Below are 25,998 nucleotides of genomic sequence, written 5' to 3' on the forward strand. Positions count from 1 at the left end.
ACCAAACTAGATAACCTGTAAGATGTGGACCACCTAAGCATTAGACAATTCTACCTTGAGACGTTAAAAAAAAAAAAAGTGCGTGACTCAAGATTTTTTACCAGAAACTCTTCTTCCCCTGATTAAGGTGACTCATCATTCTATCAAAGAAAGAAATGATCTGGCATTATTTATACTCCTCAGGGTCCCACTTGTTATTCTGCTGGGGCTTGAGTTTGTCTCATATGAGACTAGTCTTTGATTTTCTGCATTCTTTAGGATAAATTTAGATGGCACTGGGCTCCATATCCACAGCCGCCAGCATGGTCCAAGCCATTGTCATCTCTTGCCTCAGGTCCTGCAGTAGTCTCCAGACTGGCTTTTCTGCTTCCACTCTTGCATCATTGTAATTCTTTCTCCAAGTAGACCTCAGAGTGATTTTTTAAAAAATATGTCAGATTCAATCACTCCTTGCGTAAAATATTTTATTTACTTCCTTTCGCATTTAGAATCAAATCCCAATTCCTTACCCTTGCCTTCGAGGCCCTGCGTGATGAACGATCTAGCTCCTACCTCCTCTTTGGCTTCCTTGCCCATTACGCTCCCCTCGTATGATATGCTCCAGCCAGACCGATCTGCTGGTTCTTCCCTGCACATGCCAGGCTCATTCATACTATTATAAATAAAGTTTCAGTGCCGCAAAAGAAATAGCGCTCGAATATAAAATTTTCTTTTTAATTCTCAGCAAGACAACGTACTTCTATAGAAGGGTGCACCCTTACAGATGGAGCAATCGTGAGCGCACACTTGGACAAGGGAGGGGAAGGGGTTCTTATCCCTGAGGCACGTGGTCCCTGCTGCTGTATGGTTCCCCTATTGGCTTGGGTTAGACTGCACAGGCTAAACTAATTCCAATTGGCTAATTTAAAGAGAGTGACAGGGTGAGTGGTTTGGCGGGAAAAATGGTTACAGGGCAGAGCAGGAAATCAGAGTAAGCCAGGGTGGAGAATGAGCAGGTAATCAGAATGAGTCAGGGTGGAGCAGGTAATGGAAAAAGGTTGCTTTACGAGGAAGTTAAGTTTAACAGTAGAAGGCAAAGAACTGAACATACTGACATATTGATTCTTTGAAGAGAAATTTAGAACTCATACCTAACAGTACTTGGAGAGTGTGCATGAGCCATTCCCTCCGCCTGAATTGCTCTGCATAGCAGGTCCAGCTGTTGAATTTATGTTTTAAAATGTGCTCAGGATTTGTTTAAATCAGGTATAGTAAGGCAGCAGTCATGGAAATGACTGTCATGAAGAAAGAAGTTTTTACACTTGCAGGTTCCTAGAAACACGAGGTAAGCCACGAAGGCCCACAAAGGAAAGCACCAGGGTCAGTCCGGAGGCAGAGGGAGCAGAAGGAAAATGTGGCAAGACCCTTTATTGCGTTTTGCAACAAAAGGAATAAGGTCAAGGTAGGGCAAGCAGCTTAGAATTGTCTAGTTTTAATAATGTCAGTGGGCTCTGGAGGTGTAGTGGCCGTCCTGAGTTGCCTGGTACCTGGCCCCAAGATGATTAGAGCAGGGGAATATCGGGCAGGAGAGTAAGAGTCCTATAGAGGAGGTTGGGGAAGTGTGGACTCCAGTTTGAGTAGTTTGCATATGAAAAGCATGCTCCCTGTATCTCTAAGAATTAGCTCTTCCTGAGAAGAGCTATCCCTCCCCAGTTACCAAGTCCCCAGTTGCCAGCACATCAAACACACACACAAAAATAAGAAAATATAGTGAATATAGTTTAGTCCTATAAACTCCATTATAGGTAATTGAAATACAGGTGCAGACTTCTGGAAACCATCACCTTCTAACTGGAAGAGGGCCTGGACAGGAACACCTCTTCTTTTCCCATTGTCTTGGACTTCATAAAGTTTAACTTGATATTCTTCCCTAGACTGGGAAATGACAAATCAAATGTTATTGCTTTTCTCAGTTTTTATTTTTATTTATTTAGTGACAGTGTCACTTGCCAATCTCCCCAGTTTTTAATAAAGAAATCCTTGTAAATATGTTGTCCTTTACCAATATTCTCAATAAATTTGGGCAAGGATGTGACACCAAATGAAACTATTGTTTTCAGATGTAAATGTAGGCAGAAGTCCTGTAAATTCTTTAAAGAGAAGCAATGTGAGAAGAGAAAAGCATGTCACTATCATCTCTGAATAGCTGTCCCTTTCTAGAATCTGAACTAGGCCATCAAACTGTATTAACTCATCTGAATTCAAAATAAGGATGAGATGAAGGGGCTAGAAAAGAAAATGAAGGAGTGAGAGGCCTAAGAAGATTGTGAGGGTATTTAGGGGAATATGGTTCAAAAAGGAGAACAGCTCTCTTTTCCATAAAAGGGAAGAAAGTATGTTAAATAATCTTTTGCTGCAGTCTCCATTAATTTGTTGTTGCCATTGACCCATTTTCCTATCTCTTAGTTGAATTTTTGCAATAGCAAAAGAACCAGCTTATCAATATATATTGAGAGTTTAGTATAATACTTGAAAATTTTGATATCACAGAATCTTAGAGTTGTAGAAATTGTAGGAATTAGAGAATTACTCATTTACCTATGCAGGAATTAATTCTGAAAGATAGTTATATAGTTAATACAGGTGATGTATTCTATTGCTGGACCCTTCATGGTATTAATTGTAAGGGATAAAAACATAGCCCTTTCATGATATAGTTTGATTCAAAGATAAAATTGAGAAAGATTTTTTCCCCATGTTTTACTCAAGAGAAAAAAATGAATCCAAAATTTTGTCTAATAGGGTCTCTCACCTGAAAATCACATCAGTAATTTTCATTCATAATTAGTTCTCAAAGCCAGCATTTTGGTAAGAGCATAAAGAGTCTGTGGTTGATTTCTGATGAGAGGTTTGTCAGGATTCTGTGCTGCCAGTTGTGTATGCAAGATACTTTTCAGGCTGTAAGAAGGGGAAGAATATCATGATTGACTTTAACATTGAATGTACTTGAATATACTACCTGTAAATATACTAAATGACATATTTTATTATTATTCCAGGTTTGGATAATTTAGCAGCTCATTTACCTCATGATGTATCCAGATCCTTTCTGTCTGTCTTCCTCAGATGCTGGCTTCATCCTCAGGTCCTTGACTGTTTCAAGGTAGATGCCACATCTTCAGGCATCACATCCTCGCCCACCGATATCTCACAGCTGGAAGAGAAGAGAGTGCAGCCACATCCCTCATTTATTTATTTTTATTTTTATTTTTTTATTTTTGAGACACGGCCTGTGTTGCCCAGGCTGGAATGCAGTGGTGCAATCTCGGCTCACTGTAGCCTCAACCTCCCAGGCTCAGGTGATCCTCCCATCTCAGCCTCCCAAGTGGCTGGGACTACAGACGCATGTCAACATGCCTGGCTAATTTTTGTATTTTTTGTAGAGATGCGGTTTCGTCATGTTGCCCAGGCTGGTCTCAGACACCTGGGCTCAAGTGCTCTTCCAGGCTCAGCCTCACAAAGTGCTGGGATTATAGGTGTGAGCCACTGCACTCAGCTTCATTTATCTTTTTAAGAGATAAGAAAAACTTTTCCAAAGCCTTTCCTCCCCTATGTCATCAGCAAGAATTGTGCCACACGTCCATCGTAACCAATGTCCATTGTCTTAACCAATGACAAAGGCAATGGTTGTCATGATTGGCTCAAACCAATCCTGATTTACACCCTTGGGGCGGGAGAAAAGCCCAGCCTCCTTTAAAGTTTACGGCCCACTGATCATGAAAATACTTGGGCTCCTATTAACACAAGTGAAGAGGAAAATGGACATAAAGTAGATACCCCACAAAGAAGGCAGTGTGTTTTGACAGTGAGTGGTGCACAGAGAAGGGTTTATATTGTCCTCAAAAAATTAAGGAAATCCTTATTAATCACAATTTCTTTCAAATATGGAGATAAAAGTTATTTCTGTCATTTCCACTTAGGCTTGGGTATTTTTCTGTATAGAAGTAAAATAAGTCTAATTTCTCATTACTGTGTCAATATCCAAGCACTATATATCTATATCTATCAAAAGATATAGATATATAGATATTTTGAGATAGGGTCTTGCTATGTTGCCCAGGCTGGAGTGCAGTGGCGGGATCTTGGCTCACTGCAACCTCCATCTCCAGGGTTCAAGCAATTCTCATGCCTGAGCCTCCTGTTAGCTGGGACAACAGGTGCATGCCACCACGCCCAGCTAGTTTATGTTTTTTTTGGTTATTTATTCATTTATTTATTTATTTATTTATTTATTTATTTATTTATTTATTTATTTTATGAGACGGAGTCTCTGTCACCCAGGCTGGAGTGCAGTGGCGTGATCTCAGCTCATCGCAACCTCTGCCTCCGGGGTTCAGGCCATTCTCCTGCCTCAGCCTCCCGAGTGGCTGGGACTACAGGCGCCCGCCACCACGCCCAGCTACTTTTTTGTATTTTTAGTAGAGGTGGGGTTTCACCAAGTTAGCCAGGATGGTCTTGATCTCTTGACCTCATGATCTGCCCACCTCAGCCTCCCAAAGTGCTGGGATTACAGGCGTGAGCCACCGCGCCTGGCCTAATTTATGTATTTTTTGTAGAGACAGGGTTTCGCTATGTTGGCCAGGCTGGTCTCAAACTCCTGGCCTCAAGAGATCCACCAGCCTAGGCCTCCCAAAGTGTTGGGATTACAGGTGTGAGCCATGGTGCCTGGCTGAAGCACAATATTTAAATATTGGTCCTCCTTGACCCCCAGCCCTTTTCCTCCCAATCTCCTCAGCCCTTCCTCATGGTTTCCAAATTCATCACTATGTCTGCTCCTGGCATAACCCTCATCTCTTCAACTCCCAACTGATGACATGAAACTCAGCTTTCAAGGCTTAGCTCTGGAAAGCCTTTCCAAAGTCCCTATGGCAGTAAGTACTCCATGTTCTGTTTGTAGTCCTCTCTAGTTCCTCCTCCATGCCCACACTTCTTGAACTCTTTATGCCAGTCAGTGTGCCAAAAACGTTATCAATAACCTTATTTAGTCTTCACTAGAACCCTATGGTACAGATATTAATTTTCTTAGCTTCATAAGTGACAAAATTGAGGTAAACACAGATGAGTAATTTGCTTAGGTCATAAGGTTTATAAATCGTGGGGCCAAGATTCAAAGCCAAATCATAAGACTCCAGAGTCCTGGCTCATTAGTACCACACTGTACAGCTTCAGCATGTTCTTACCCATATCCCCAGAGTTATCCTTGCCCTAAGTCTGGCTCTGTGTATCAGTATGTCTGGTGCATAGGGAATGCTTCATGAATGTTTGTCAAGTGAATGAATGATTCATGGTTATTCTCTATACTCTTCCATATAACACCATTAATCAATGTCCTCCTGAAAATATGCCCAGAAAACACTACCCCAAGTTTTTTGTTGGTTTCTTTTTTTTTTTTTTTTTTTGAGATGGAGTCTCGCTCTGTTGCCCAGGCCAGAGTGCAGTAGCATGATATCAGCTCACTGCAACCTCTGCCTCCTGGATTCAAGTGATTCTCCTACCTCAGCCTCCCGAGTAGCTGGGATTACAGGCACGCACCACCACACCCCACTAATTTTTGTATTTTTAGTAGAGACTGGGGTCTCACCATGTTGGACAAGCTGGTCTCGAACTACTGACCTCAAATGATCCGCCCACCTCGGCCTTCCAAAGTGCTAGGATTATAGACGTGAGCCACCATGCTCGGCACCCTCAAGAGTTTTTTGATAGAACAAAATAAATAGCATATGTAGAAAAATAATTCCTCCCTCCACCCACAAAGATGTCTACATCCTAATACCCAGAAACTGTGAATACGTCACCTTACACAGCAAAAGGAATTTTGCAGATGTGATTAAGTGAAGAATCTTGAGATGGGAAGATGATCCTGGATGATCTGGATGGGCCCAATGTAATCACAAAGTCCTGAGAAAAAGGAAGCAGGACAGACAGTCAGAAAAGGAGATCTGATGACAAAAAGGAAGCAGGACAGACAGTCAGAGAAGGAGATCTGATGAGGGAAGCAGGGCCTGCAGTCAGAGAACTCTTTCTCTAAAGACACCGTGCTGCCGACCTTGAAGGTGGACAAAGGGGTCAAGAGCCAAGGGATGCAGGTAGCCTTTAGAAGCTGAAGAAGGCAGGGAAAAAATTGCCCCCAAGGGCCTCCAGAAGGGAACATAGCCTTTCTGACACGTTGATTTCAGACATCTGACCTCCAGGACTAAAAGAAAAATTAATTTGTGTTGTTTTAAACCACTGAGTTTGTGATACTTTGTTACAGCAGCAGCAGAAGGAAAATACAGTATAGATACTTTCTTTTTTGACTTGGTTATGATGTTTCTATTTATAACTCTGTTTATGAGTATAGTCCTCTTGATACTGGGTACACTGAATTTTCAGACCTCAAATAGATTCTTCTGAAAATATAAATTCTCTCCATGTTCATTTTGCTTTTCTCATTTCAAGTCACTTAGTTGGCATCTGTCTCTTCATGTTGCCAAATTCCTCTGGACTGTTACCACCATCATTGTCCCTGTTGTTTGCTCTCACTGATGCTGTCTTTTTTTTTTTAGACCCAGTTTCACTCTTGTCACCCAGGTTGTAGTGCAGTGGTGCCATCTCGGCTCACTTCAACCTCCGCCTCCCAGGTTCAAGCAATTCTCCTGCCTCAGCCTCCTGAGTAGCTGGGATTACAGGCGCTCACCACCACCACTCCTAGCTAATCTTTTGTATTTTTTGTAGAGACAAGGTTTCATCATGTTGGCCAGGCTGGTCTCCAACTCCTGACCTCAGGTGATCCACCCACCTCAGCCTCTCAAAGTGCAGGCATTACAGGCATGAGCCAACGCGCCCAGCCTGATGCTGTCTTAAAAGGAGTTTGCCATCAGGCACGGTGCCTCACGTCTATAATCCTAGCACTCTGGAAGGCTGAGGCAGGATGATCGCTTGAGCTCAGGAATTCAAGAACAGCCTGGGCAACATAGTGAGACCTCATCTCTACCTTTTTTTTTTTTTTAATTAGCTGGGCATGGTGGCGCATGCCTGTAGCCCCAGCTACTCAGGTGGCTGAGGCAGGAGGATCACTTGAGCCTTGGAGGTTGAGGCTGCAGAAAGAAAAAAGGAATTTGCCTACCTACATTAAAGCAGTGGCCTTGAGGCCGCATCATGAAGTCCAGCATTATAATACTGGTCACAGATGCGGTCACAACTTTTTAATATCTAAATTTCTAAAACATCTGTCTATGAGATTAAAAAAAGAGAGTGATAACAAGTCAAATAAAGCATTTCATCCTCAAAGTATTTTGGATTCTGATGATCAGTGATAGATGGAGGCTTTGGGCTTCAAGTTAATAGACTGTTGCACTGAGGACATGAAATATTTATTACTGTATTTAGTTTTGTCTATCTCCTTATAACTTTGCATTTTCTAAATAACCTAGGCTTGTTATTCATCCTGTGAAACAGAGATATTATCTGCCTCACAATCTTCCAATAATTATTTTAACTTTTAAGTTGGTATATTTAATCCTTTAAACTATGATTTTTAAAGTGTGGCCCCTGGACTGGCAGCATCAGCAACTTCTGGGAGCCTGTTAACAGTACAAAGTCTCATATCACACTTTAATCCTACAGAATCAGAAACCCTAGGCAGGCATCAGTGATCCATGCTATGGCTTTGAGCTATGTTAGGTGGTATGAATCAGAGTGTCCGAGCACTGAAGATTTTTTTGGAAAGCCATTTCACATCTCAGTGGCTGAGAATCCTGAGATAGAATCGTTCTTCTGGCAAATCTTGGGTACATGCATGCTTTATTTAAAGCAAAGATAAGGCAATACTAGTAAAGAAAAATTAAGAAAAAAAGAGACAATTATATTCTGCATAAAGCACATCACCAATTCCATCTTTCCTGATGTACCTAGGAGGTTGTGTCCTTTTTTCTATTAATGCTGTTTATGTCTAATAGTTGCAATATGCTGAAATAGTATTAGTCTACATATCTGCTATGGTCTGAATGTTTGTGTTTCCCCCAAACATGTTGTACCTAGTCCTCAATGCAATAGTGTTAAGAGGTGGGGTTAGGAGGTGATTAGGTCATGAAGGAAGAGCCTTATAAGAGATTAATTCCCTTATCAAAGAGGCATCAGAGAGCTGGTTGGCCCCTTGCACCAGGGGAGGACAAAGAAGTTGTCATCTATGAGAAAGCAAGCCTTCTCCAGACACTAAATCTGCCAGCACCCTGATCTTGGACTTAACGGCTTCCAGAACTATAAGAAATAAATGTTTTTTGTTTACAAGCTACCCAGTTTATGGTATTTTGTTATAGCAGCTTGAATGAACAATGTCTGCAAGCATCATCAAGATAGGGAACCTGTCTGTTCACCACTGTATTCTCTGAACCTAGCTCAATGCATGACAAGTATGAATCTCAGTAAATATTTTTAGTCTCAATGACTATTTTCCTCATATCACCTCCCAAGGCAGAAACTCCATCTAGAACTGTGTATGTCCAGTGCCTACAATGCCACTGTGCTGGACACATAGGTTCTCATGAAATATGTAAAGCAATAAATTAATGAAGGTGTGATACACATATCAAATATCATTCCAATATTCAGTTCACATTCTGATGTACTATCAAGTTGTGCTGGAAATAAGTAGACATAGGTTGATGCCAAAGGAATTTCTGTTGCACTAAGACTTTGATTGTAAAAGTATTTAATGCTAGAGAATTTACATTGCACAAGCTGCTTCTATAGAAATGAGAAAAGCCAGCAGACAAAATAATAGAAAATTATTTCAGACATTTATCCAGATTTGGACCAGAATCTATTTTATTATGCATGAACTAAAACATAAATACTTATATAATAAAATATTAGAAAATGCTGGCCGGCTGCGGTGACTAATGCCTGTAATCCCAGCACTTTGGGAGGCCGAGGTGGGTAGATCACTTGAAGTCAGGAGTTCAAGATCAGCTTGGCCAATATGGTGAAACCCCATCTCTACTAAAAATACAAAAATTAGCCAGGCATGGTGGCATGCACCTGTAATCCCAGCTATTCAGGAGGCTGAGGCAGAAGAATGTCTAGAACCCAGGAGGTGGAGGTTCCGGTGATCCGAGATCACGCCACTGCATTCCAACCTGGGCGACAGAGCGAGACTCTGTCAAAAAAAAAAAAAAAAAAAAAAAAAAAAAAAAAAAAAAAAGGAAATGCTGATAGATGTATGGTTTCAAAAATACAGTGATGATTTTATATTAAACCTGTCACTGCAAGTTTGCCAAGCAATTTTCTTCTAAATATATTTCTAGAGCTGGGTGCAGTGGCTCACACCCATAATCCCAGTACTTTGTGAAGCCAGCTTGGGAGGATTGCTTGAGGCCAGATATCTAAGGCCAGCTTGAGCAACATAGCAAGACTCCCTGTCTACAAAAAAAAAAATAAAATAAATAAATAAGTAAAGATAGATAGATAGATAGACAGACAGACACACAGATAGATAGATATGCCGTGTGTGGTAGTATTATCCCTTAGTCCTAGATAGTCAGGAGGCTGAGACAGGAGGATTGAGCCCAGGAGTTGAGCTTGCAATGAATAACTGTGCCATTGACTCCAGCCCTGTCTCTAAAATAAATTAATAGATTGATAAATAAATTCCTAATGAAATAAAGTGACTTTCATCTTTAACCCTTTATAGTCACAGTTGATTTTATCAAAGATCCCAGCTGTTGGTCCTCCAACTGGATATATACAGACCCAAATCTACAGCAATTGGTTTTTTTATTGTTGTTTTAATTTGTTTTGGGAGATAGAGATAGGAGATTATGATAGAATACTGAATAAAAAAGTCTTTGACACAAAAACAAGCTTGTTTAGATCTGTTTAACATTTAAGGAAAGTTAAACAGCTTTCCTTTTTGCTGTTTTTACCTGGTTCTTTAATATGCTAATATGTACTGAATATGGCCTGGAGGCAGGGGTGTGGGAGGCGAGGTTAGTACTCAATCTTGTTTGCGAGATATCCTTTGTTCTTAGAACTCAGATTAGCATCTCCCAGCACGATACAATTTGGAAAAGGCTACTCAATTCCTAAAGTACTGAATCTTTTCCGAAATAACATTTACAAAGAAGGGAAAACTGTAAGGTCTGGGCTGCTGCATCAGACAGCTGTTTACTTAATAGGCCATTCCCAGATCTTTCTTTTTAAGGATAGTAAGAAAAGCACAATTTTTACAAGGAAAAAAATGGAAATGTAATGACAAACTTGAAATTTAGTCTTAAAGTTAAAAAAAAAGTAATGACATGAATTAGTTACTTGTTATCAATATTTCATCAAACCTCAGAAAGTTGAGAATTAAATTATATCTGTTCTCCTCAGTTAAAATTTTTATTTTTATGTCAGAGTCAATTGAGAGGGTTCCTAAAAGAGCACTGGATCCCCCGCTTCTGTCAGGTGAGTTTGTGTGTCTTTGCTTTGGACCCACGGAGACCTGGGTTTGCCTCTGGTTCTGTCCTTGACTGTTTCTGCTCTCATCATATTACCTCAGTAATATCTAACTACTAGATTTGTTGCTATTAGATATGATAATGAATGCAAAATCCCCTCTCCCCTCTTTTTTTTTTGAGATGGAGTCTTGCTCTGTTGGCAGGCTGGAGTGCTGTGGTGCGCTCTCAGCTCACTGCAACCTCCGACTCCCTGGTTCAAGCGATTCTCCTGCCTCAGCCTCCCAAGTAGCTTGGATTACAGGCACACGCCACCACGCCCAGGTAATTTTTGTATTTTTAGTAGAGATGAGGTTTCACCCTGTTGGCCAGGATGGTCTTGAACTCCTGACCTCGTGATCCGCCTGCCTCGGCCTCCCAAATTGCTGGGATTACAGGCGCGAGCCACTGTGCTCGGTCTTTTTTTTTTTTTCCCCCTGCTTCATCTGACTTCTTGTCTGTTGAGGGCTTTCATATATTTGGGGTGGCCATATTTTGCCTTGTGTTGATAGATGACTGTTAAACAGGAATTACTCTTAAATCTCTTTATGTTCCCACATATATCCCTGCTGTAAATATTTATCACTCCTCCATCTCAAGAAGGTAACAGAGCTTTGGTGTTCTGTTGGCTCAGTGATTTTTTGGTTACAGAATAAAAACTAAAAGTCACCAGATATCCAGAAGACAACTCAACTTGTGTTTCTTTTGTTTAGAAATCTTAGACTGATTGAGTCAGAGAAGCAGGAGTCCACTGTTGTGCTTCATGTTAGGGGAATGAGCGTGGCGAGGTGGAAGAGGCAGGTTATTCTACAGAGAAAGAGAAAAGAAACCTAAGGAGAGAAAGAGTTTGGGCGACTAGCCCAAGACTGAGAAGTAGAATGGTGAGTTGTGGATCCCTGGGATAGCATCGCACAGATCCCAGCTCTAGGTGACCTCCCACAGGGAATGCGAATGAACACTATGGGAGGGGAAGCACAAGTGAAACAGAGATAAAGCGATCAACAAGATGACCTCTGAAGACTCTTTCTGGACACCATTAAATATTAGACTGTAAGCAGCCAGGCATGGTGGCTCACACCTGTGATCCCATTACATTGGGAGGCCAAGCGGAGGATCACTTGAAGCCATGAGTTGGAGCAGCAGCCTGGGCGACATAGTGAGACTTTGTCTCTACAAAAAATAAATAGCCGGTGTGGTGGTGCGCACCTGTAATCTGAGCTATTCAGGAGGCTGAGGTGGAAGGATCACTTGAGCCCAGGATTTGGAGGCTATAGTCAGCTATGATTGTGTTATTCATTATACTCGAGCCTGGGTGACAGAGCAAGACCCTGTCTCTAAAAATTTTATAAAATAAAAATAAAAAATTTGCTCTCTCTCGAGGGTGGGAGAGAGAGAGAGAGAGAGCGAGCGAGCACCTCTAGAGAGAGCAAGCAATAATTTCTTTTTATTTTCCTGCTGGTAAACTGTACTCCTAGCACCTAGAACTATAGTGCCTGGCAAATAGTAGGCACTAAGTAAAGATGTATTTAATGATTGAATATGAAGTATGTTAATGACATGAAGGAGGAAAGTTCAAGTAAGATGAGAAAAAGGAGAGGTCAGGATGACTGAGGTTTCATAAGTGGGAGAAAAAGCATTATCACCAATAAAAATGTAAGTTAAATGGCTGGCTGAGCTGGAAGCCTAAAGAGTTTAGCTTTACATTGGGAACTGATAAACACATGTTAAACTGAATGTTCAGCAGGCAATTGGAGATACAAGACTAAGACTTAAGAAAGTAGTCAGAGCTAGGAATAGAAGACTCGCTAGTCCCTCAATGGAAGTTGGGTAATGAATCCTTGAGAGATCTCAGATACAGAGTAAGTGTTGGAGGTAGGCGGTACTGAACTGGAAGGGACATGCACCTTTTCTGAAGTGATGTTCAAATGAACCTGTGAATAATCCTGGGGTTAAGTAAAATTTAGGAACAACTTCCAAATCTTTAGTATTGGTGTGTTACTGTTTTTCAGCCTGTGGATTAGAGTTTTGTCTGAGACATTGTCAGTAAGCAGGACTCTTCACTATCAAGGGCCCAGGAAGATTCAAAATATTCAACTTTGTAATCTATAGCCAGTAAAATCTTTTATCGCTTATACAAAATATTGTGGGTCCAAAGTCCAGGACCCATTTGATTTTGTTAAAATGCATTAATTTATTATGTGATAAGCAGAGACATACAATTAAATTCTGCTTACATCCTTCCCTTTCTCCAAAGAGCACAAATTATATGTGTTCTTTTTTAGTCCTTAGGTAAGGATTCATAAGACCCTTCATTTTTGGGGATAATAAAAAATTATAATGATGATTGAAGTTATCAGTATTTACCACTTTTGAAGCATTGCAGATAGCTGTTTGGATGGTCAGTATATCACCATATGGTTAACATACTCGTCACAAGTAACAGTCACTGCCATTAATGAACAGGATTTGGAAAACTTTTGCTAACATGGCACTTTTGAGTACAAAAAGTAAATTAAAAGGTTTACAAGAAGATATAGTAAAAACAAACAAAAACTGTAGTAAAACAGATTAGTAGTCAAAATCACTGGGAAAAAATCGCCAATTTAAATCTTTCTTTATACTTCTATTTCAGATGTTCACAAGTCTTAGTTTGTGTTACTACAGCAAAGTACCATAGATTTTGCGTGGCTTGGAAACTGTGGATATTCATTTTTTAGTTCCAGAGGCTGGAAGTCTGAGATCATGGCTGAGCTCTGCTGAAGATCCTCTTCCAGGCTGCAGACTGCCATCTTCTTGTCGCATCCTCACACGATAGAAGGAGTTTGAGAGAGATCTTTGGGGCCCTTTTTATAAGGGCATTATTCTCATTCATGAGTGCTCCACCCTCATGACCTAATTACCTCCCAAAGGGCCCACTTCCTAATACCATCATGGGAACGAATGAAAGGTTAGGATTTCAATGTATGAATTTTTGGGGAACGCATTCAGTTCATCGCAAGATGTTCCCTGTATGTATGGCTCTTTAATTATTAATGCTGTTTCTCTTGTATTCATAATGTTCTGTAGTATAATAAACAGTTCCCCATAAGAAGCAGAAATGAAGAACTGAAGTACTGGTTTTGCATGCTCCTAGGGAGCTGCTAAACATATTTTTCCTATGAGCCTGATGCCATTAGTTACTGCTTCTGCCACTACAGTTACCTTAAAAATTGGATTCATCCCCGAAGAGTGAGTGAAAGAGATCATTGACTCAGCTAGGAGGAATGATGCCTGTGGTCCTGAAGAAAGTTTTCAGTAATCTACATTCTACATATCCCTGAAGAAAACATCATGGTGTTTGAGAACCAGAACTGAAACAATGGGAACTGGAAATGACTGCAATTCCATTTCAGTTGACAGCTTAATACTCATTCACAAAAGGCTAATTAAGGCTTCACAGGATTCACATTAAATTTATTATGGCTATAAATGTTTTCCTGGAATGTCACATTGTAGAATAATAGGTATTAATTTTTCTTATTTCTTGAACAGAAAGGCACTATGTCCCCGTTTTGACACATATTAGCTCTAGATCCTTGAACAAATTATGAAACTTCTCTGAGTCTTCAATTCTTCATCTGGAAAATGGGGATAATGATAGCCCTCAGGGTTGATGTGTGTAATAAACAATATAATCTATAGAAAATCTCCTAGCATCTAGAGGGATATAGCAAATATGAACTCACATGTGAGGTTTTTTTTTTTTTTTTTTCTATTCTCTTGGTGTCACTCCGTTTACTTCCAGGTGTAATGATCAAAAGCTGAGAGAGGGCCCCCAGTGTGCATGTGTGGCAATTTCTTGTGTATTCCCCAGCACGAAATTTGTATCCTATTAGTGTCTCAGCTTGACAAGCCACTCTAAGTATCCTTATGATGATGAGAGAATCATAAGTTTGGGGGTAGATGAGTTCTTTTAATTCTGAGGATGAGAATAAATAGCCAAAGTACTGTAACTATCAAGATCCTAATGATAATTGCGCACACACCCCTTTACAATATCAGCTGTTGTCACTTCTCAGAAAAATAATTGATCTCCCTTCCCCAACAAGTAAAAGTCAATTTGATGTCTCTAAGCAATTGCATGTAAAACTTTCTAAGTGTTAAATGTTTTGAAAAAAATTTTTTCAGCTACAAAGTCAATAGGTGCTTATTGTGAAAATCAAGCATTTGGAAATATTTTTACAAACATTCACATGAAGTTGCTTTAAGTCCAGCTCTGTAAACCCCCCAAAACGAGACAAAGGTGTAAGCTAAAAAGGTTAAGCATAACTAATGAATTAAGTGTATACCTAAAGTAAAGCTATTTGTAATACTTTGACAGAATTATTAGTTTTGAGACTCTGAAGCAGAAATGAGGAGAAAAGCTCCACAGACATATGGGGTGAGATACCTCCCTCCTCTCCTGAAAGGGGGGCCCATCAACTCGTACAGTAGTTCAGGCTTCTAGTCCTTCCCATAATCAAATAAGAGCTCTGAGGAAGCTGCCTTGCCCCAAGTTGCCATTATTTTGTAGATTGCCCCCACACAACTCCAGGAAGAGCTCCCACCATCTCTGAGTCTGTATTGGCAACCGCTCAGCAATTGGAAGTTTTCCTCCCGTGTTGACCAAGGTAGCTAGGAGTCAACTAAGAGAGCTCTTTTCCACCCCCTACATTGCTACATTGCTTGTTGACTTGAGGCCAAAATGTCTTCTAAGGAGAAAAGTTAAGGAACTTTAATTAGGGTCTTGAAATTCAAACCCTAAACAACCTTGTAAATTTGATACCAATCACCAAATTGCTCTCTAAAAAGGAAGTAGCACTTTACAATTCCATAAACAGTTTTCTGACACCTTTTAACAAAATTGTATCGCATTCATTTTTTTTAGTTTCAGCCAATCTTATTTCTCATTATTTTTTTAAAGTAGTATTATTATAAAAGGACACAAATTTTTGCACATGGTTGTAAACTATTTGTTCTTTCTTTTCTTTTCTTTTTGTTTTTGAGGCAGAATCTCACTTTGTCGCCCAGGCTGGAGTGCAGTGGCACGATCTCGGCTCACTGCAACCCCTGCCTCCCAGGTTCAAGCAATTCTCTTGCCTCAGCCTCCCTAGTACCTGGGATTACAGGTGCCCGCCATCATGCCTGGCTAATTTTCGTATTTTTAGTAGAGACGGGGTTTCGCCATGTTGGCCAGGCTGGTCTGGAACTCCTGACCTCAGGGGATCTGCCCGCCTTAGCCTCCCAAAGTGCTGGGATTACAGGCGTGAGCCACTGCACCTGGCCCTTGTATTTATTGTACGAATTGCTTGTTTATGGCTTGTGTTCTATTTTAAAATAGGGTTTTTTTTTGGTACTGATCCATAGGCATTTTTTTTAACATATTCTGGATATTCTCCCTTTAAAAAAAATACATTGCAATTATTTTCTGTCAGTTGCCCTATTTACGGTTTCCACTGTACAGATGTTCTACATGTTCAGGAGTTTGGGATGAACTTATCGCCAGTCACACCATCCCACCTCCCCTCACCTTCCAGCCTGTGGTAAAAGAGACTGAGCAATGAAGACCCCTGAAACTTTGACAAAACTGGTAGAATATGAGGATGTCATCATTTATGAAGCTGCAAATAAGCTTCCTGGTAGACTTGACTTCCTTTTCTGTACAATCACAATACTGGAAAAATCATCACAATGGATATTTACATATGCAAAAATGTAGCTGAGACTCTAGTCTGAAATAGAGATTTTGGAGAAGTATGACTCTGCTTAATGCAACTAAACTGCTTTTTGCTAATGTGATACATTTTCTACACTGTGGACAGTCATAGCTGTAAGTCAGGATTTATACTGCTTAGGCACTGTGGGTTTTTTTTTTTTTTTTTTTTTTTTTGAGATGGAATCTCGCTTGTAGCCCAGGCTGGAGTGCAGTGACAGGATCTCGGCTCACTGCAGCCTCTGCCTCCCAGGCTCAAGCAATTCTTCTTCCTCAGCCTCCTGAGTAGCTGGGATTACAGGCGTGCGCCACCACACCCAGCTAATTTTTGTATTTTTAGTAGAGCCGGGGTTTCATCGTGTTGGTTAGGCTGGTCTCTAACTCCTGACCTCATGATCCAACCACCTCGGCCTCCCAAAGTGCTGGGATTACAGGCGTGAGCCACCGCGCCCGACCTACTGTGGCTTATTATTTTTGAGATGCACATGTTCTTTAAATAATTGCTTATAGGAGATAAAACTCCAAGACAGCCAGAAGACTGCACTGGCAGGATTTTCTCCTTGAGTTGGAGGAAGGATTGTATGTAAAAACGATTAGCTTGGTCAAGCTCAGTCATGAGCTAGATGGTGTTTAAAATTGAACTCAATGTTCTCTGACCAATGTGTCAAATTAAAAAAAAAAAAAATTGAACTCGACCTTGAAAACTGTTTTTAAAAAGAAACCTTTTGAACATCATGTACTGTAAAAGAAAAAAAAATTTAAAGTTTTAAAAATTATTCTAAGAGGATGTTGTAAGAAAGTGGCCTCATGTCACTTTATAGGTATCTCCAGTCCTGGGGTTCACTTACTATGATCTGATCTGATTGTCTTGCTGAGAGCACACCCTTATGAGTAGGTCTCTCCTACAAGGAGTAGACATTCTTGCCATCAGTCATGGCAGAAAAGGCTGTACTTGGCACAGAACAGGAGAATTTAGAAGGCAGGCCCTACAATGGGGATGAGGAGGAAATACTTTGGTCTATTCTAGACTGCACATTTAGTGCTGAATGGCCTCCCATGGTAATGTGGGGAACCTGGCCTCTACCTGTCACTGGTGCGCAGAGGCGACAGTCTATGAAACAATAGCATTTATTTTAAAGAGACTGCACCACCATAATAAAAAAAACAAACCTAGTAAAACAGGGCCAGCCCTATATGTACACTGCCTGAAAATTATAATTTTAGGGGCCTTTGAAAGACCTTGCATGTCCCAAGAGTCCTCTCCTTCTTTGTGGCTTTTCCCCTCCCAGCTTATTAGAAGAAATCTTCTACCAAAAGGCCAAATTAAATATACATATATTGGGAGGGTATTTTCTCCAAAACAATGACCAAAAACACTAACCCAGAGAGGACTAAAAACTTTTAATTCCATCACCCTACTTAAGCCTTTGTCAGTTTCCACAGGAATATAAAATATTTATATAATAGCAATCATGTGCCCATACAATAATATATCTTGAATTTTTAAAAATTAATGTTACACTGATCAAAAGCCCCTCCCATCACAGAGAGTTACATAGCAGTGATATCTCAGAAAGAACAATGATTTTGGCCTCAGGTGCTTTCCTTTGAGTCACAGCTCCAATGTAGGCAGCACAGCCCTAGACCACCTGACTCTGTTCCTTCCTTTCTACCATGACTGGCTTGCAGGGTGAGTGAGAGGAACAGATACAATGCATGGTGGGTGGCTGACTCATGGTGGGCAATGACTGGTAGTTAATATTTTTAGCGTTATTTTTAAAGTCAACATTTTACTTCCTGAATTGATGGTTTTGGGGGCAAGCACTGTGCCAAGCCTTCTTTACAACAGAGACTGTTTTAATCCTAATCACCCTTCAAGACTAGCTGTATTATCTCACTTTACACCTGACAAAAAATGAAGCCCACTGTGGTAATGCCACTTGCCCAAAGTCACACAGCAGGTCAGCAGAAGAGGTAGCTTTTGAACTAGGTTGGGGTCAACAGTAGTCACTACTGGCCACTACCAAATATGAAATACAAACGTCACCTCAGAACAGCAGATAGCCTCTCTCCTTAGCACACTGCTTTGCAGATTCAAGAAGTCCAGAAGGCCAGAGTGGATGAGGTGAAATACAGTTTTAGTTTTTAAGATCATGAACAAGGGGTCAGTGAAGAACCCAGGAGAAATTAAAAGAGCAAAGTAAACCTCAACACCAATTAGTTCAGATAGACAAATTCCCTAAAACTCTTTCACTATCCTGATGTCTCAAGAGCCACGTTTAAAATTACAAAATCTGTGTGGGTTATGTCAAAGGCAATCTGTAGAAAGGGCAAAGAATATGAATTATCTGAACCCATTGAGTTTTTTGTTTGTTTGTTTGTTTGTTTGTTTGTTTTGAGACAGAGGCTCGCTGTGTCGCCCAAGCTGGAGTGCAGTGGCGCCATCTCAGCTCACTGGGTTCAAGCGATTCTTCTGCCCCAGCTTCCTGAGTAGCTGAGATTACAGGCGCGCACCACCATGCCCGGCTAATTTTTGTATTTTTAGGAGAGACGGGGCTTCACCACGTTGGTCAGGCTGATCTGGAACTCCGGACCTCGTGATCCGCCCGCCTCGGCCTTCGAAAGTGCTGGGATTACAGGTGTGAGCCACGGCGCCCGGCCATTTTTTTTTTAAAGTAAGGTTGGGAAAACAACAAATGATACCTCCTAGGGCTGTTATTACAATTAAGACAAATACCAGAGCACTTTGGCAGGTGGAGGCGAGCGGATCATTTGAGGTCAGGAGTTCGAAACCAGCCTGGCCAACATAATGAAACCTCATCTCTACTAAAAATACAAAAATTAGCTGGGAGTGGTAATCCCAGCCTGTAATCCCAGCTACTCGGGAGGCTGAGGCAGGAGAGTCGCTTGAGCCTGGGAGGCAGAGGTTGCAGTGAGCCAAGATCATGCCCCTGTACCCCAGCCTGGGTGACAAAGCAAGATTCTGTCTCAAAAAAAAAAAAAAAAAAAAGGACAAATACCAGAAAGCCCATCACAGATGAAGGACTTTGTTCCAGTTCGTGACACATTGCCAACTTTGAATTACATCCAAGTCCGTGGGTCTTCTCTCTGGGGTCAATTGATGGCACGTGATTACACTGCTCAGGGCCCAAAGGTTGGAGCTATGACTTGAATGTTTCTAGACAAGGAATTATTTGACAAACACACTTTAAAAAGTATTCAGAGCCATCCAAGTAAGAGGACATTAATAACGTAGGGTTTTGCCTATGGAGAGAAAAGAAAACGCAAACAGCACGTTCCACCTTCGTTCTCCCTAAAGTAATTTATCTCCTTCAAAAGATAAAAAGTACGAACACATTTGCCCTTGAAGGGCAGAGCCCCGGAATTCAGGAGCTCTCTGAACACTCCTCCCCTTCTGATAGGGACCAAACCTTCTGCTGAGCCTTGTGTCACAGTCAGTCCGCGGCGCCACAAGCCTCAGTGTTTACTTCTGCCGCCTGCCAGCCGGGCGGGGAAGGGGAGTACCCGGCCACCCCTCACTTTAGCTCCTGCAGCTTTCCAAACAAACCAGGGCGGGATGGGAGTGTCTTCTTGGCTGTGGAAATCGATCCTCCTACCTTGTCCTGAAGCCACCCGCCGCCTTTCCTCGTCCCTCCCTTCGCGGTGATTTTCCGGTCCCGGCGCCCGGCGAGGGCGCGCGGCTGGTGTCCGCCCCGCCCGAAAGGTAGGGGTTCGGCTGTGCTCCCGCCTGGTCCCCAACGCCTCACCCTCCGGGAGACCCGCAGCCTCCCACCACTTTGCACCTTCCTCCTCGAATTTGGGGGCGGCCACCGTGCAACTGGCGCCAGCCGCGGAGCAGGAGGAGCTTCCCGCGACTCCGGAGGCGCTCGGCGCAGTCGCCCGGGATTGGGGCTGGCGGGAGCCTGAGACTCCGGGCAGGGCTGCTCCCTCCTCTGCTCCCCCGCCAGATCCGCGGGGAAGGAATCGTGCCCGCGCCGCCCCTGGCCCGCGCCACCTTCCTTTGGTTTCTGCCGGCCTCGGGCTTCTGCGGCCCGATGTGGCAGGCGCCGCGAGAGAGGCAGCAGCCGGCTGGAGCAGCGGCCCCTCAGGTCTCGGAGCCCGGTGCGCCTCTGCGGTCGTCGCTCCTGGGCCTCGGCGGGTCACTCTTGCCGGCCGGCTTCGCTGCGGGTTTGCACTGCCCGGGTGAGGGAAATTGGGGGTGCGGGAAGACCGGTCTGGGCCGGGGTCCGGGCGGCCTGGGGTCTGTGCTGCCCCGACCCTCCGGCTTTGCAGCCTCTGAGGCTCAGGGTTGGGGGTGGGGACACGGAGCGCTGTTTGCCCCTCCACATATCCTGCCAGCACCAAGGAGGTGGCGTGCGGAGGCGTAAAGGGACCATGGGCGCTGGGACCCGCGAGCCAGCCGGCGTGCGCCGCAGCCACCGCCGAGAGGGCACCCGGGGATCCTGGAGCCCCAGTGAAGGGCGGGAGGGACGCGCAGCCTCGCGGGTAAGCCCAGGAGCCGTGGGGGCCGAGAGAATCTGCTCTGGGACCCTCTTTTGTCGAATCGCCGGCGAGGTTGTGCAATTGGGAAGCCAAGAGGAGTGTCCAGCTCCTCGTTCACTATTGTTTTCTTGTAAAAGGGTCTGTACGCGAGGAGGGTTGAGGGGTCTGGAAGGTTCTGGTCTCTTACCGTATAAAGTTTTTCGAGAAACCCTTTTTCCCTCCACAATGGAACTAGACCTAACAAAACAAGCTCCGAGGCAGTTTAGGAGAAAGGAGGACGGTGAGTAAATTGCAGTGTTTGGGCTGCTGTTAATTTTCAAGATAAGGGAGAAGCAACTTGTCATTTTGAGGCCGCCGGCTCCGGAGATCCCGGCAATCTCAAGCCTCTTTCTTGTGTGCTGTTATTTTGGCTTAAAAGAAAACCTATAAAAAGCGACGCCCAGAAACCAAAAACAAACCCAAAGCACCTTCTTTTAGGATTTTTCAGTAGCGAGGGTTGGCGGGGACAGTGGGGAGGAGCAGGAGGGGGAGAAGAGGTTGCTGTTGAAAGGTAATGTTTAAAAACAGTGTGTGGGGGTAGGGATGAAAATAACGTGGTGACTGCTAGTGTATCAGAAATCACACCGAGTCTAAAGTCGTAAGTCCCATTTGCCTTACGAGGACCAGCTGGGTGCTGTGAGTAGGTGGATAGTTAAGGAAACTGTAGATCTGCTGAAAGCTCCTCGTGGTCTGTGGTCTCGTGTCCACGCTGACCTTTGAACCTCGTAACTCTTCGGGTCTCCAGCGGCCACCTCTTTTAGGCTAGCCCGAATGTTTGACTTTCCGGTCCTCAATCTTCCTCACCTAGCTGCAGACCATAAAACTGTCTTTTTATTTACAGGGAGATGTTAAATATTTGGGAACATCTGCTCAGGCTGCCAGGTTATTTTCCGTTTGAAAGCATGCCGATTTGACATTTGCAAGTTGGTTTATGTTGCTTCCTTTTTGTTTCACTAAGAACGCTTTTCATACCAAGATCTGCGAAAAACGATGCCCTTAGACTGTTATTTAGTTTATTGTCTCTGAGTAAGGCCAAATTCCACAGAGGGTCTTTGGATAATGGCAACTTTGCTTATAAGAAGATAATTTTTCTAGAAAGTGTTGCATTGGTCTGGTTTCCTAAGCTGTTCTTGTGGTCATGTAGACTGGGAGGGGAGATCTTCATTCCTTGTGATGTCGCTTTCCTTGAATTGTATTTTTACTATAGTTCCACAATGTCTCAGTCCCAGATTGCACCATATGTTGTTTACATGGTGCAGTAAAATGGGACTGCAATTTTGACTACATTTCAGTAGATTTGTTGGAGATAGTTTGTTCTTATGCCCTATATCAATAATAATAATAAAAAACCTTTGAGGCTCAAGAATAGACAGTATTGACAGAATAATACCATTAAGAGACATACCATTTAAAAACATTAGTCTGTCTCCTGTGAAATTGTAAATCGTAGGTGTTCTCATTCAGTGGCAGACGACTGGATTTCACAGCAGTTTTCTTCTGTTGGAGACATTTCTGTGTTCCACATCATGTGGAACCTTATGGGAGAAGACGTGAGTAATGCCATGTTTCCCGCATTTCCCTGATAAGCATCATCTGCTAACCATGCAGACTGCCAGATGGCTTCCATGGAAATTGTGCTTCCATCCAGGAGTGGTGACCAGAGATCTGTTTAGTATGCATTTTAGGTGATGCTTATTGAGAAGGTGAAGGAAGCATGGAACTCCTATTTGGCACCCACTCTGATTTTTGGTGTGTTCTCATATGCTATTTTATTTAATCTTCCTGACAAAACTCCTGCAAGAAAGGAATTTTTAGCCCCATTTTATAGCTTAAAAAACCAAGATTGCCTTAGGTTGAGTTGCAGTGGCTCACATAAAGGTTTGACTCTACCTCTGCCTACACCATCCCAGGAATCCTCTGCAGTATACATTCTGCACAAATTCTTCCATTTCCTGTGCATATCTTTCTCCTTTGCCTGGCATATCCTCCATTTATATATACCTTGGTCTGAATATGCCTTTCTAGTTATCCCCAGGCTGGGCTTTTTGAATAGGTGGTCTGCGTACTTTGCCTTCCTTGTGACAGCTTTAGACTTTCACCAGCCAGGAACCTTCTATCTTCTGCACATCTCTGATGTGTCACTTAGGTGATCAGGGTCTGGCGAAATCTAGGAGTTTATGCTGTCTTCAATGGGCATATTCCAAAAGTTCTTTCCTTTCTGAATACATTTTCACTGAAGCTCCTACTCAAGCTATATGTTACCTGGAAGAGGTTTTCCCAGGGTTACATCCCCACCCTCACAGTTGAAATGAAACATTCTCTCCTGTCTGTCCCAACTGTGATGGATAATAGCACACATCACACATCACAGTTTCCAATTTAACCCTTAGGGGTTAAAATGGATTTTGATTTGGAGTGAGCTTGATGCATGGAATAGAATGTATACATTGGATATTATAGTGTTTTGGTAGGAAATTTTATTTACAATTCCATATCAGGATGTCAGAAACACAATTCCCTCACCATTGTGGGATAGCTGGAGTTCTTTCCCCTGATGGTGACACCTCAGCACTGAATCAGCTGCAGTGTCTCAGACTTGGTCAGGAACTTGACTGTCGTATAATCAGGCTAAGAAGTGCTGAGATTCTGGCAGTGAGGTTATGAAAGTAAAAGATAACAGGATCAGTAAGACCTGGTTTTCTTCCTTGTGCCCATGTTTGTTTTTCTTGGAGAGCTTTTGGTCATCTAGGAGGATTGTCCAGTTTACCTTTTTACTGCCACAAACTTTTGTATCTGACCAGGGGCCTTCCTCTTCCTGCACCATTGAGATAGAGGGAAAGGAAAGCACCTAGCCCTTAGGAGATTTTCTTAAAAACATTGGAAAGCTGAGTGAAAAGTTATCTTCTCCCCCATTCTCTCTTTCCCCTTCTTATATGCTTAGCCTAAGACAAAGTATACAGATAGCATCATTGCATACTTTGCAATGTATTTAGTGCTAGGCTTTGAAAGATGGTTTAAACATTGATTTACTTTTTATTTGGTTGGGAATGGAAAGATCTTTAGGACATGATGAGAACAAGGCCCCCAGAAGAGGAGACGGCAAGGAAGCTGGAGATTCCTCCAGAGGTGGGAGGGTTATTCTCACCTTCCACAGGTTGTGGAAGCAGGCCTGGAGTTGTTATGGCTGTGGGTCAGAGTCACTATGCTGAAAGATGGGGGCAACAAGGGAGCAGAAAGTGTTTTTTTCAGTGGACTTTGGGTGATATTCCATGTGGTCATCCATGAGATGGGACTTCCCTAATGGTCAACCAACATTCACTGAATGTCCACCATGTAACAAGAGATGTTCTTGTGGGTGGGGTTGGGAGCGTGCCGTGTTGGACACAGCAAAGCCCCTGCTCTTACAGAGCTTATGTTTTATGGGGGGCAGAGTCAAAAAATGAGTTACAAATACATGAGGCATGAGTGAATTTGGGTCGTTTGAGAAACAGAAGGTGCAGTGTGAGAAGAGAGTGGTTAAGACAATATGTAGTTAAAGAAGAGTGCAAAAGACGGAGTGGGAGGAGATGTAGTCAGTAAGATAGGAAGGCAGATTTTGTGGAGTTTGAATCGTATTCTAGTTAGAATTGGCATGCCTGGAGATTTTTGATGAGAGCCTAATTCAGTCTTCACCCAGTCATGATAGGCTTTCCTGTCTCTTCTTTTTCTTTCTTTTTGAGGTGGAGTCTTGCTCTGTCACCCAGGCTGGAGTGCAGTGGCTCGATCTCCGCTCACTAAAACCTCTGCCTCCTGAATTTAAGTGATTCTCCTGTCTCAGCCTCCCAAGTAGCTGGGATTACAGGCATGCACCACCACACCTGGCTATTTTCTGTATTTTTTTTGTAGAGATGGGGTTTCGCCATGTTGGCCAAGCTGGTCTTGAACTCCTGAATTCAGGTGATCCGCCCACTTCGGCCTCCTAAAGTGTTGGGATTACAGGCGTGAGCCACCACACGCGGCCCCTTCCTGTCTCTCTGTCTCTCTTTCTCTCTCTCACACACATAAACACACAAATTTCTACCCTTAGTTGCCTTTTTTTCTTTCTACTAATTTACCATAACTGATTTCCCCTCTCTTTTCCCTAGGGCAGAGCACAGGAATATCACAAAGACAGGCAGAGCTCAGAGACGCCTATACAGTATTCCTTTTATCCTCTTGTCCTTTGATTTCAAGATGTCTCATCATCACCACTCTATTAGTATCTAGGGAGACTTGGCACAATTTTTAGATAGAAAATTATTTTTGAGATTCTTTGGCCCATTGTTAACTCACATACTTAACTAACATACAAAACAACTAAATTATGGCTTTTCTGATTAACACAGTGGCATAAAACCTGAAACCTCAGGAGACCTATCTCACATTCAATGATATCCAAAGGCTGAAAGTAAAGGGATGGAGAAAAGTCTGGCAAGCAAATGGAAAACAGAAAAAAGCAGGGGTTGCTATTCTAATTTTAGACAAAACAGACTTTAAACCAACAAAAACCACAAAAGACAAAGATAGTGATATGGTTTGGATCTGTGCCCCCACCCAAATCTCATATTCAATTGTAATCCTCAGTGTTGGAGGTGGGGCCTGATGGGAGGTGATTGGATATGGGGGGCAGTTTCTAATCGTTTAACACCATCCCCCTGGGTGCTGTTCTTCTGATACTGAGTGAGTTCTTACAAGATCTGGTTGTTTAGCCTCCCCCCGCCCTCCCCCCACCCCCGCCTTTCCTCCTACTCCAATTATGTAAGATGTGCCTGCTTCCCCTTCACCTTTTGCCAGGAGACTTCTGTGAGTTTCCTGAGGCCTCCCAGTCATGCTTTCCGTACAGCCTGAAGAACCGTGAGCCAATTAAACCTCTTTGCTTTTTATATTACCTAGTCTCAGGTATTTCTTTCTTTCTTTTTTTTTTGGATAGGGTCTCACTCTGTTGAACAAGCTGAAATGCAGTGGCACAATCATTCTTCACTGCAGCCTCAGCCTCATGGGCACAAGCAATCTTACCATCTCAGCCTCCTAGGTAGCTGGGACTGCAGATACACACCGCCACACCCGGCTGATTTTTTAAAAAATTATTTGTAGAGACGGGGTCTCACTGAGTTGCCCAGTCTAGTCTTGAACTTCTGGGCTCAAGCAATCCTCCTGCCTCGGCCTCCCAAAGTGTCGGGATTACAGGCATAAGCCACTGTGCCCAAACTCAGG

At 42.7% G+C, this 25,998-nt stretch overlaps 1 protein-coding gene and 1 long non-coding RNA gene across 17 annotated transcripts in view, besides 2 other annotated features; one reads left to right on the forward strand and one right to left on the reverse strand.

Moving 5' to 3' along the window:
* Positions 1-1,748: 1,748 nt before the first annotated feature.
* On the reverse strand, positions 1,749-20,067 carry ST3GAL6-AS1 (ST3GAL6 antisense RNA 1). The gene is made up of 5 exons (NR_046683.1): positions 19,842-20,067; positions 5,835-5,937; positions 3,066-3,193; positions 2,792-2,937; positions 1,749-1,914 (listed from the first exon to the last, which is right to left on the reverse strand). It is a non-coding gene; the product is annotated as an ST3GAL6 antisense RNA 1 (long non-coding RNA).
* Positions 19,533-20,281: an enhancer, noted in NCBI's record as "H3K27ac hESC enhancer chr3:98450961-98451709 (GRCh37/hg19 assembly coordinates)". NCBI's record gives its function as "activates a minimal SCP1, AML or CMV promoter by ChIP-STARR-seq in naive and primed H9 embryonic stem cells {active_cell/tissue: H9 hESC(naive and primed)}" and the evidence as "EXISTENCE:reporter gene assay evidence [ECO:0000049][PMID:30033119]".
* The window catches only part of ST3GAL6 (ST3 beta-galactoside alpha-2,3-sialyltransferase 6), a 63,591-nt gene continuing 57,270 nt past the window's right edge, over positions 19,678-25,998 (forward strand). For 10 of the 16 annotated variants that reach the window (NM_001323360.2, NM_001323352.2, NM_001323362.2 and 7 more), the window contains exon 1: positions 19,678-19,948. Coding sequence is in view for 1 of the 16 variants with exons in the window: in NM_001271145.2 (NP_001258074.1) it covers positions 20,280-20,427 (148 nt within the window). In the remaining 15 variants the exon portion in view is untranslated. Of the gene's footprint in view, positions 19,949-20,116; positions 20,428-20,871; positions 21,008-25,998 lie in introns of those variants that run through there. The other 6 variants (NM_006100.4, NM_001323364.2, NM_001271145.2 and 3 more) reach the window with 2 other exon arrangements.
* Positions 20,282-21,029: an enhancer, noted in NCBI's record as "H3K27ac hESC enhancer chr3:98451710-98452457 (GRCh37/hg19 assembly coordinates)". NCBI's record gives its function as "activates a minimal SCP1, AML or CMV promoter by ChIP-STARR-seq in primed H9 embryonic stem cells {active_cell/tissue: H9 hESC(primed)}" and the evidence as "EXISTENCE:reporter gene assay evidence [ECO:0000049][PMID:30033119]".

Source organism: Homo sapiens, chromosome 3 (genome assembly GCF_000001405.40).
Source record: "Homo sapiens chromosome 3, GRCh38.p14 Primary Assembly".
NCBI classification, from domain to species: Eukaryota; Metazoa; Chordata; class Mammalia; order Primates; family Hominidae; genus Homo; species Homo sapiens.